We start from the raw sequence: 13,678 nt of genomic DNA on the forward strand, positions 1-13,678 counted from the left end.
AAATTAAAGTACATCTATAAGACCATCAAGAAAATGTGAAATGTCTGAATATTTATTGATTTTAAAGAATTATTGTTATTTGGGGGTGTGTGATATTGACATTGTGGCTACGTTTTAAAAAAATTGAGTTCTTACAATATAGAAATATACATACTAAAATTTTTACTGAGAAAAAGAAGTTTGGAATATGCTTCAGAATTTCTGGGCTTATGGTGATGGTAACATAGGGTATAAAGAAAATACATTTGTAATTTGGTCAGTAATTGATATTAAAGAGACTGATTGATGAACATTTCTACTTTTTTCTAATTCTGTAGCTATTTGGAAATTTGCATACTAAAACATTTTTTGTAAATGCAGATAGATTTGAAATTTGTTCTTCTGAGCTCTATGAAAGAATAAAGTCATTCTTAAGCTAGGAGTCTTCTTTTCTAGCCAATAATTCTAATTATAATTCTGTCTCACATCTCTAAATCTGGAACTCTGGAACCCAGACTGACCTGAGGTCTGTGAGTGGTAAAATAGACAAGAACAATAAAAAGGATTTTAAATCTTACCTAGAAGAAGACAACAAAGAGGGATGGCGTGTGCTTGGTCTGGGGCAAATGGAGTAGTATCAATATAATACAAAAATATATGCTTTTTTTCTGAAAACCAGTATAGATTTTACTGTGACATTTTTTCACTTTTAGTATTAAAATAAATTTACTGTTTGGGCAACATTTAAATTATCATATATTCAAAGCCTAGAAATGACCACCTAGGCTGAAATTAAGTTAAATCTATGATATGGTTTGGCTGTTTCCCCACCCAAACCTCATCTTGAATTGTAGCTCCCATAATTCCCACATGTCATGAGAGGGACCCAATGGGAGGCAATTGAAGCATGGAAGCAGTTCTTTTCTGTGTTTTCTCATGATAGTGAATACATGTCATGAGATCTGATGGTTTTATAAAGGGGAGTTCCCTTGCACACGCTCTCTTGCCAGCCGCCATGTAAGATGTGACTTTGCTCCTCATTTGCCCTCCACCATGATTGTGAGGCTTCCCAAGCCGTGTGGAACTGTGAGTCAATTAAACCCTATTTCTTTAAAATTACCCAGTCTTAGGTATATCTTTATTAGCAGCATGAGAACAGGTGAATATAGTAAATGGGTACTAGGTAGTGGGGTGCTGTTGTAATGATACCTGAAAATGTGGAAGCAACTTTGGAACTGGGTAACGGGCCAATGATGGAACAGTTTGGAGGGCTCAGAAGAAAAAAGGAAAATGTGGGAAAGTTTGGAACTCCTAGAGACTTGTTGAATGGATTTCACCAAAATGCTAATGGTGATATGGAAAATGAAGTCAAGACTAAGGTGATCTCAGATGGAGATGAGAAACTTCCTGGGAACTGGAGAAAAGGTCACTCTTGTTATGCTTTAACAAAGAGACTGGAAACATTTTGCCCCTGTCCTAGAGATCTGCAAAATTTTGAACTTGAGAGACTTCATTTAGGGTATCTGGTAGAAGAAATTTCTAAGCAGCAAAGCTTTCAAGAGGTGATTTGGGTGCTGTTAAAAGTATTCAGTTTTATGTACTTCCAAAGATATGGTTTGGAATTGGAACTTATGTTAAAAAGGGAAGCAGAGTATGAAAGTTTGGAAAATTTGCAGTCTGATGATGCAATAGGGAAAAAAAAAACATTTTCTGGGGAGAAATTCAAGCCTACTGCAGAAATTTGCATAAATAACAAGGATTTGAATGTTAATCATCAAGGCAATGGGGAAAATGTCTCCAGGGCTTATCAGAGACCTTTACAGCAGCCCTTCCCATCACAGGCTCAGAGACCTAGGAGGAAAATGGTGTCCTGAGCTGGGTTCAGGGTCCCTGTGCAGCTTAGGGACTTGGTTGCTTCCAAATTGCTCCAGCCATGGCTAAAAGGGGCCAAGGCACAGCTCAGGCCATGGCTTCAGAAGGTGCAAGCCCCACGTCTTGGAAGCTTTGACATGGTGTTGAGCCTGCAGGTGCACAGAGGTCACGAATTGAGGTTTGGGAACCTCTGACTAGGATGTATCTCAGAAGTTGTATGAGAACGCCTGGATGTCCAGGCAGAGGTGGCCTGCAGTGGCAAAGCCCTCATGGAAAGCCTCTGCTAGGGCAGTGCAGAAGGTAAATGTGGGGTACAAATCCCTCACAGAGTCCCCACTGGAGCTCTGCCTAGTGGAGCTGTGAGAAGAGGATCACTGTCCTCCAGACCCCAGAATGGTAGATCCACTGACGGCTTACATTGTGCACCTGGAAAAGCTGCCAACACTCAACACTAGCCTGTGAAACAGCCAGGAGAGGAGCTGTACCCTGCAAAGCCACAGAGGCAGAGTTGCCTAAGGCCATACAACCCCACCTCTTGCATCAAGGTGACCTGGATGTGAGACACGGAGTCAAAGAAGATCATTTTTGAGCTTTAAGATTTGACTTCCTCACTGGATTTTGGACTTGCGTGGGGCCTGTAGCTCCTTTATTTTGGTGAATTTCTCCCATTTGGAATGGCCGTATTTACCAACCCCCTGCCCCATTGTATCTAGGAAGTAACTTGCTTCTGATTTTACAGGCTCATAGGCAGAAGAGACTTGCTTTGTCTCAGATGAAACTTTGGACTGTAAATTTTGAGTTAATGTTGAAATGAGTTATGACTTTGGGGGACTGTGGGAAGGCATGATTCATTTTGAAATGTGAGGACATGAGATTTGGGAGGGGCCAGTGGTGGAATGATACAGTTTGGCTTTGTCCCTACCCAAATATTATTTTGAATGTAGCTCCCATAATTCCCATGTGTCATGGGAGGGACCCAGTGGGAGGTAATTGAATCATGGGGGTGGGCCTTTCCCATGCTGTTCTCATGATAAGTATCATGATAAATATCACAAGATCTGAATTTTTTATAAAGGGGAGTCCCCCTGCACACGCTCTCTTGCCTGCCACCATGTAAGATGTAATTTTACCCCTCATTCACCTCCTGCCATGACTGTGAGACCTTCCCAGTGATGTGGAACAATTAGTCAATTAAACCTCTTTCCTTTATAAATTACCCAGTCTCAGGTAAAACTTTATTAGCAGTGTGAGACTAATACAATCTATTCTGGCAATTATTGTGTATTCTCCCATCTTGTTTGCATTGACAACACTGTCATGAAAAAGTATAAAGAGTTCTCCAAGTCATTAGTTCCAGGATTCAACATAGGATTTTTGTAACTCATATCCTCCATTCTCTACCCATTTTCAGGAACCTCTGCTTTCAGACCCATTTAATTAATTGATCCCTGAGATTACTGTATATGGCACATCTTTCCAATGAGATCAAAATCTCCTTTAAGAAACCAGTATTATTCACATAAATTCACTGTTATCTCCCCATTTCCACACAGCTGCTTTCAAAATTATTGTTGCTCAGTATATGATTGACCATAAAGAAATTACAGAAACAAATCTATTATATCTAAATTAATAGTAACACATTAGAAATGTGGAGGTAGAAAATAGAGGTAGCATTAACAATCTCAGATTATAAAATGAATTATCCCAAAAACTATTGCCCAATCTATTGCTTATAAACAAATGCTTGTGGGCTGGGCTCCATTTAAATTTAAAATTAAGGGAAGTGTTACAACAAATTTCATTACAAAAATGTATATTTTAATACCTAAAATTTTTAGCTCATCTTTTAGTTTTAATAGAATAGATAAGATACAAAGTATTCATTCAGACTCATAATGATTCATTTTCTATTTTTTCTTATGAAACAATCAGTTAGAACTATTATACTAATTGAAAAAAAAATGGTGAGTTCTTGAATTGAGTAAAAATTCACCAATTTCTTCTTTCTCTGTTTTCCAAGGTTTGGTATTTGGTGTCAGTACAAACATCAAAGCCTTGACCCAAAATTGAACCTAGCAATTGTAAAATCCTTCATAAGTATTACTTTCTAAGAGTACAAAATAAAATCGAAATTGGAAAACCACTGAGTATGTGCTGGGGCATGACTCATCAGTGATTTACCTAATGTGAAATAATCTTCACACTGCACAGACTAGAATTTGAATTTCCAGGTAGACCATTAAACCACACCTTATCTTCCCTCCTTAAAGCCATTGGAAATGCACCTGCCACCTGACCTTTGAGATCTGCAAAGATACCACATTTAGATCCTTTGTCTCTTTCAACTTCCCTTTCTCACTTTTCTGGTTTCAGAGATGGCAACTCCCAGATCTGTAAGAGTACAAATAGTATAGTTAAAAGGGCAGTTTAGTCTACTCTTGCAGCCAAGTCACTCACAGAATAAACAAGTTGGCTTACAAAATTGTTAGTTTCTTCAAGAGTTTTGTTAAAAGGAGTCTCAGCTTAAGCAAACAGCCTTGTCTGCCATCTGAAATAACTGTGGAAATTAAATTTCATAATTATGAAATATGTATATGAATTCAATCTTACATGCATAATTTTACTACTTCTTTAAGCCTGGGAAAATATACAGGCAAAAGAAGACAAAAGAGAAAATTTGTCTGACACCTCATGCTCTCCTCATCATCTAGCACCCTGTTTTTTTCCCTTTGTCTTCAGAAAATTATATGTTTCACAGAAGAAAATTTTTACAATTATTTGCTTAATTGTCTCCATTGTTAGTAAAGTTCCCAAAATATTATTACTTCCTCAATACTTTCTAAAAGAAAACAAAAGGCCCAATTTTGTTTTGCTCTTAAGATTCAAGGTATAATATATTGCAACCACAAATAAATGATAAATGTTCGAGGTGATGGATATACTAATTGCCTGATTCATTCATTACACAATCTATGCATGTATCAAAACATTACATTGCACCCCCTAAAAACGTACAATTATGTGTCAATTAAAAATAAAAATAATTTTTAAAACCTCAAGGTTTACAGATATATTATTTTGAAACCCAAACATGTAGAACTATTTAATCTCATTCTAAATAACATTTTGTTCTCGTCTGCTTTCCACTGATATTTTTCCTGCTGCAATTGTACTTTACTGTTGGTGCTACATGTCATTGTTGGATTTCAGGTTCTGAAGCTGAGTTGCATACTCTCCCTTTTACAGAAAAAGAAGAATGGGTTTTATGATGACTGTTTGCCTTGAGAAGCCTCCTTTTCTACTCTCTCCCTGTTCATATCTACGGTGGGATGCCTAAGACAGATGAGTGGACTCTTGCCTAGTGATCTAGGAGTCAGTTTTCTAATTATTTGATCCATATTCAAAGCAGCTCCTCCCTAAATGGTGGGCTTTCTACCTGTGGGGTGTAGCCCAAATCTTATCTACTGCTGGGATCTATCACCAGCAGCAGAGATTTCTCTCCGTGATAAAAACACTTAGGTTTTGCCTATTGTTACTTTGGCCATTTGCAGGACCTGACTGAGTTTTCATGATGATAAAGAGTCAAATGGTGAGGCTGGTGGAGAAAAGCCGCTGCCCTGAGCATACCAAAGACCAGGAGTGAGCCTGAACAGCTGGCCTGGCTCCTGCTCCAGCTTGGGATGAGTCTGGGAGCAGTAGAGCTGTGATCCTTGTGGTAGATTCTCGGCAGCCTCAGGCAGCTTTTCAAAGTTAGACGCTGAAAACCAACAAATGGAACTATGAGGAAGAATAACGTAAATACCCTTACTCTACTTACAGTTCTCTTTGGGACTTTTTCCATCGAAATGCTACTCTCAGCAATTCTCAAATCAGAAAAATTAACATGGGACAATAGTTTCTAAGTTGTTCATTATCAGTCCCTACACTAAAGCAAAAGGTAAAAATTTGAGGTACTCTGGTAAGTAAAATATCTTTTAAATTTTTATTATTTACGAAGATAAGATTTAACAAATACAAGCAGACCCCCTTTTATTGAGCTTTCCTTTATTGTGCCACACTTTATTGTTGTATTAGTCCATTTTCATGCTGCTGATAAAGACTTACCTGAAACTAGGTAAATTATAAAGAAAAGAGGTTTAATTGACTCAGTTCCACAGGGCTGGAAGGCCTCACATCATGGCAGAAGGCAAGGAGGAGCAAGTCACATCCTACATGGTGGCAGAGAAGAGAGAGCTGGTGCAGGAGAACTCCTCTTTATAAAACCATCAGATCTCCTGAGATTTATTTACTATCATGAAAACAGCAGGGAAAAGACCTGCCCCCATGATTCAATTACCTCCCAATGGATGCCTCCCATGGCATGTGGGAATTGTGGGGAGCTACAGTCCAAGATGAGATTTGGGTGGGTACACAGCCAAACCGTGTCAATTGTGCTTCACAGATAATTGTGTTCTTTAAAAATTGAAGGTGTGTGGCAACCCCGCCTTGAACAAATTCATTGATGCCATTTTTCCAACAGCATGTGCATGTGTCTCTGTGTGACATTTTGGTAATTTTTGTAATATTTCAAACATTTTCATTACCATGATATCTGTTATTGTGATCTGTGAACAGTGATCTTTGATGTTACTATTGTAACGAAAGGGGCGCCATGAATCATGCCCATATGGGACAGTGAATTTAATTGACAAGTGTCATATGTATTCTGACTGCACCACTAACCAGTCATTCCCTTATTTCTCTCCCTCTCCTCAGGCCTCTCTATTCCCTGAGACACAACAATATTGAAATTAGGACAATTAATAATTCCACAGTGTTCTCTGAGTGTCTAAAGTAAAGGAAGAGTTGCACATCTCTCACTTTAAATCAAAAGCCTGGAATGATTAGGTTTAGTGAGGAAGGCATGCCAAAAGCCAAGATAGGCCCAAAACTAGGCACCTTTTAACCAAACACCGAAGTTATTTGTGAATATGAAGTAAAAGTTCTTTAAGGAGATTAAAAGCACTAATCCAGTGAACACACGAATGACGATAAAGTGAAACAGCCTTATTTCTGATACGCAGAAAATTTTAGTGGTCTACGTGGAAAAATCAAACCAGCCACAACATTCCCTTAAGCTAAAGCCTAATCCAGAGCAAGTCCTAAACTCTCTCAAATTCTATAAAGCCTGAGAGAATAAAAAAAAAAAAGTGCAGCAGAAAAAAAGTTTCAAGTTAGCAGAGGCTGGTTCTTGAGGTGTAAGGAAAGAAGCCATCTCTATAACATAAAAAGTTCGAAGTAAAGCCTCAAGTGTTGATATAGATACTGCAGCAAGCTATCCAGAAGATCTAGCTAAAATCATTAATGAAAGTGGCTACACTAAACAATAGATTTTCAGTGTAGACTTAACAGTTTTATAATGGAAGGAGAGGCCATCTAGAACTGTCTTAGCCAGAGGAAAAGTCAAGGCCTGGTCTCAAAGCTTCAAAGGACGAGCTTTTTTTTTAGAAGCTTATGTAGCTGGTGACTTTAAACTGAAGCCAATGTTCATTTACCATTTTAAAAATCCTAGGCCTCTTAAGAATTATACTAAATCTAATCTACCCTGCCTATGCTCTATAAATAGAATAATAAAGCCTAGATGGCAACGCATCTGTTTACCACACAGTTTTCCAAATATTTTAAGCCCACTGTTGACCTACTGATCAGAAGAAAAGGATTACTTTCAAAAGATACTGCTCATTGACAATGTGCGAGTAATCCAAGGGCTCTGATAGAGATGTACACAGAGAGTAATGTTTTTATGCTAACACAACATTCATTCTGCGGCTTATGAATCAAGGAGTAATTTCTACTTTCAAGTCTTATTATTTAAGAAATACATTTTATAACACTACAGCTGCCATAGATAGTGATTTCTCTGATTGATCTAGGCAAAATAAATTTGAAAACTTCTGAAAAAGACTCACCATTCTAGATGTCATTACGGACATTTGTGATTCATGAGAAGAGTTTAAAACATCAACATTAAATAGATTTTGGAAGTTGATTTCAACCCTCATGATGACTGAGGCATTTAAGACTGCAGTGAAGAAGGTAGCTGCAGATGTGGTAGAAATAGCAAGAGAACTAGAATCCAAAGTGGAGCCCGAAGATGTAACTGAATTGCTGCAATGTTACGATCAAACTTGAATGGATGAAGAGTTTCTTGTTACACATGAGCAAAGAAAGTGGTTTGTTAAGACAGAATTTACTCCTGATCAAGATGCTACGAACATTGTCAAAACAAGAACAAATAATTTAAGTATATTCCACACACTTAGTTGATAAAGCAGCAGCAGAGTTTGAGAGGATTGCCTCCAATTTTGAAGAACATTCTACTCTGGGTAAAATGTTATTAAATAGCATTGCATGCTATACAGCAATAATTTGTGAAACAAAGAGTCAATCAATGTGGCAAACTTTATTGTTGGTGTATTTTAAGAAATCACCACAGTCAACACCCTGATCAGTCAGTAGCCATCAACACTAAGGCAAGATCTTCCACCAGCAAGAAGATTACTACTCAGTGAGTTTTGTGTATTTTAGCAATATTTTAATTAAGGTGTACATTGTTTTTTTAGATGTAATGCTATTGTGAACTTAATAGACAACAGTATAGTATAAATATAATTTTTTTTTGAGATGGAGTCTCACTCTGTCGCCACGCTGGAGTGCAGTGGCGTGATCTTTGACTCACTGCAAACTCTGCCTCTGGGTTCAAGCGATTCTCCTGCCTCAGCCTCCCAAGTAGCTAGGATTACAGGCGCACCACCACACCCAGCTAATTTTTGTATTTTTACTAGAGACGGGGTTTCACCATGTTGGTCAGGATTGTCTGCATCTCTTGACCTCGTGATCCGCCCATAGGCCTCCCAAAGTGCTGGGATTACAGGCATGAGCCACCTTGCCCCTCCAGATATATCTTTTATGGGCACTGGGAAACCAAAAAAAAAAAAAAAAAATTGTGTGACTTGTTTTATTGTGGTATTTGTTTATTGCCATGGTCTGGAACCAAACCCACAGTATCTCTAAGGTACACCTTTATCTACTATGTGCCGGGGAAAATAAACATAATAACATGCCTACCTTAAACACAGACTTTTTTCTAGTATTACTTTTTTAAACTTTAAGCTATTTGATATGTGTGTAAGGGGATAAGCAGACAATGATGCAATCCAAGATATATCTTCCCACATTTGAACAAGGTTAGACTTCAAATTACTCAATAGTATTGTACTATGATCTTAGTGGATACTGAAAGATCTTCCTGTCTCAAAGTATCTCTGTTACATGAAGCCTAGAGGTGCTTCACACTTGAGTCAAGATACTCTTTATTTGTTTGAATCATTAAGTCAGACATTTCTTGTTAACAATGAGTACAGTTTTTCACCAGAAATCTACCTATCACGTAGCTCAGAGAAAAACTCTCAGAGAAAGGAAACCCGAATAGGCAAAATGTCAAGGTTCCACCTCCCACACATAGGCTACTGAGAGGTTTGTAAGACTCACAGAGGCACCTAGGGACACTGGGCATTTAGTAAATAGATCATGAAAGAATCCTAGAAAATAAGACTACCCCTAGGCAAGGAGAAACTAAGTAGGTTAAGTTTGTCTTTTATACTCTTCCCCCCTTTTCTATAGCACTGCTGTTTCCATCCAGGGTCTTTTTTGTATCCTCAATAGATTTACACACACACGCTCATGCCTTCACATGCCCAGACACACACACACATACACATATAACAGAGAGACTCCAGTTTGCGCCAATGAAATTCAACTCATACCAACTCAGAAAAACACATAATGCCCTATATTTTACACACTTTGAAAATACTTGCATTTTTATAGAAATACTTGCATTTTATCAACTCAAAACCCTTTCTAACGAAGGAAATCTTTTTCTAATACTGAAAGTTGGCAGTTGGCAAAGAAAATTTGGGTTCCACAGAAACAGGCCTAGCCTCTTCCCACCACCATCTTTCATACACTTGGGGGAAAATGTATCACCACATAGGCTGCAAAGTCAAAATCAAGCTTTACCAACATTACAATTTCACATAGAGCTCCTTGACTTGTACTAGACATTCAACATATATTTGTTGAAGGGAAGAAAAATATATGAAGGAGGGAATTGTCTGAAACTATAGTATACAACACTTAAGTGACTATACATCAATTTATATACCTAATTTTAGGTAGAATTAAATTATAACTTGAAATTTTAAAAATATTTTTGGATGGCAAAATATTTTGAAACATTTTTGAGATGTCAAGCCCCAATGTAAGTTTATATATTCAGAAAAAAAATATTTGGTCCAAGTGAAGAAAATCTTTAATTATTGTTCTTTTACTCTGAAGGAAAGAAAGATTTCAATATCCTTCCCATGAAATACGATTATGTGACAAAAAGACAGTAAATATGTTATATTTTTAAAAACTTCTACAATCAAATTATTGGCATCATTAATCAGTTTCAATAACTCTGAATGTTTCCCATCTACTCTTTAGCCTTACCCATGGAGTTGAGCAACCTACTTTACACCTTAAAAATACGCTGTCCCAGACATCTAAATATGCAGTTCACAGATTCCACCACTAGAGGGCAATAAAAGTTGATTCCACGCCATACCATGAAAATAAAAGGGAGTTTAAATTTCACAGGATGCTTTTCTGACCAATATTATATGTAATAACTTAATGGATTATATATACATTGATTATGAAAAGTCAGCAGCACACATCACTGGTCAATTTCTATTGCAAGGGAGAAGTAATTTGAGTCTAGAAAAATCTTATACTTACAACATAAAATTCTACCTCCACAGAACTTACTCACCAATGAAAAATTGTAGGAATAATAGCTTTCTGTGACTCAATAACCAGGTTACCATTATCAAGAATAGAATTTATCTTCCTATGATGCGCAAATGCACAGGAAAAATGCATATCTAGGAGAATGGATAAACTCTGAGTGACATAGGAAAATAAATAATTCTATAAATGGAAAAAGCATGAATGCATTCAGGAAGGGGCAGTTTGCTCTGCTCTACTGTGGATACACACGTAAAGAGTCCAAGAAACATGAAATCACTTCCAGAAAGTAATTGGCAAGAGAAGAGCATTATCATGGATGGAGAAAAAAGGAAGAGATTTTTATGTTTGTGTTTGTTTATTTTTAGAGACAGGATCTCATTCTGTCACCCAGGCTGGAGTGCAGGGGCCCCAATCATAGCTCACTGCAGCCTCAAACTCCTGGGCTCAAGTGATCCTCCTGTCACAGCCTCCTGAGTACCTGGGACTACAGGTGCAAGGAGAGATTTTTTTATATTTTTATTACTTACTTATTTCTCTACTTGATTTATCTTTGAAATATAAGGAAACAGTGGCTTTCAGGTAAGTATCCCAATGGAATAAAGGAACTGAGGATGCTACTGGAGCCCAGCCAATGGTTGAACACCTTGTAATAATGCTAGTGAAATATAGCCAAATCATTTGAACTACAAACATCCTCTCTGAAAACAATTTTAAAATATCTACCTTAATTTAGGTGTTAAGAAAGTTATATTTTCTTTAATTGGGTCAAATAAATAATAATGTCTAAACCTCATGGATATAAACTAATCTGACTCCTACAATTTGGAAAATGCTTCTTTAAAGGAGTACTCTGACTCCTGTTTTAAACCAAAATAGTAACCGTTGTAAAGCATCATTGCTACAGAAACTGTATATTTTATATTATATTCAATAATCACTATATAAAATGAGAAATTAATCATCATACACTAATTTAATTGGTGGAATTAATATTTAACTACTTTTATTGAGATACACTTCACATACAATAAAATTCACTTGTTTATAGTATACAATTCAGTGATTCTTTTAGCATATTTACAAAGCTGTGTGAACATCATCAGTCTAATTCAGAGTACATTCATCACTACAAAAAGAAACCCCAGACTCATTACCAGTCACTCCCTAAACCCTCTTTCTCCTCAATCCTGTGCAACAACTAATCAGTCTGTCTCTAGGGATTTGCCTATTCTGGACCTTTTATATAAATTGAATCATACCATATGTGGTTTTTTATGTCTGGCTTTATTCAATTAGCTAAGGTTTTTAAGGCTCATCCATGTTATAGCATGTATCTGTCTTTGAATGCTTTACATGGCTGAATTACACTCTATTGTATGAATATACCTCACATTTATACATGCATCAATTGACGGAAATTTGGTTTGGTTCCACTTGCTGACTATAATGATTAATGTTTCTATGAATATTTGTGTACAAGTTTTTATGTAGATATGTTTTCAGTTATCTTAGTATATACCTAAGAATGGAATTATTGAGTCATATTACTCTGTTTAATTTTTTGAGCAACTGTCAAACTGCTTTGCAAAGTGTCTGCATGCAGGATTTGAGGGTTCCAACTTCTGCAGTCCTCATTCCTCGCCAACACTCGTTATTGTTCATCTTTTTTATTAGAGCCATTTCATAAGCATTTTAGAATCAGCTTATAAACAAGATTGCAAAAACAATTTGTGAAGTGGTATATCATTGTAGTTTTGATGTTTATTTTCCTAATGACTAATAATGTCACACACCTTCTCAAGTGCATATTAGCCATTTGTACCATATCTTTTTGGAGAGACTCTTGTTCAAATTCTGATGCCCAGTTTTAAATTGGGTTGTGTTTTTATTGTAGCATTATACAAATTATTTTATATTCTTCATTCTACTCCTTGATATCAGATATATGGTATATGAATTGGAGATATGTTCTCCCATCCTATTTATTGTCTTTTCACTTTCTTAATGGTGCCCTTTGAAGCATAAAAAGTTTGAATTGTAATGAAGTTCAATTTATCTATTTTTTCTATTGTTGATTATGCTTTTGGTGTCATATTTAAGAAACTGTTGCTTAACCCAAGGTTATGAAGACTTATGCCTATGTTTTCTTCTAATATATATGTGTATACATATTTATATTTAGATCTGTGACCTATTTTAATTTTTGTAGAACATGTGAGGTAGGCATCAAATTCTTTTGCATGTGGCTATCAGTCACTGAAGAACCATTTGTTGAAAAGATGATTCTTTCCTTCATTAAATTATATTGGCAACCTTGTTGATAATCAAATTGATCATAGATGTATTGATTTATGGACTCTGAATTCTATTCCACCAACATATATATCTACTGTCATACCAGTATTACACTATTTTGATTACTGTTGCTTTGTAGTAAGTTTTGAAATTGGGAAGTGTAACTTCTCCAGATTTGGACTTCTTTTTCATATTTTAACTATTCCAGGTTCCTTGCATTTCCATACAAATGTTCAGATCAACTTTTCAATACATGCAACAAAGGCAGCTGGTATTATACTAGGAATTGTGTTGAATCTGTAGATCAATTGGCAAGTATTACTAGCCAAACAGAATTGTCTTGCAATTCATGAACACAGGCAGGCTGTTTTTTCACTAATTCAGGTCTTCAATTTCTTCCAATGATGTTATTTAGTCTCCAGTAAACAAATCTTGCACTTCATTTCTCAAATTTATTTCTAATTATTTTATTCTTTCTGAGGCTATTGTAAATATATTTTTTCTCCTACTTTTTAGATTGTTCATTGCAAGTGAATAGAAGTATAATTGATTCATATATATTACATTTTGCAATCTTGCCAAATAGGTTCATAAACTTTAATAGATTGTGGATTGTTTAGAATTTTCTACATGCAAGATCATATTATCTGTGAATAGTTTTATTTCTGGATTTTCAATCTAAAGGCCTCTTATT

This window comes from Homo sapiens, chromosome 8 (genome assembly GCF_000001405.40).
Source record: "Homo sapiens chromosome 8, GRCh38.p14 Primary Assembly".
NCBI lineage: Eukaryota > Metazoa > Chordata > Mammalia > Primates > Hominidae > Homo > Homo sapiens.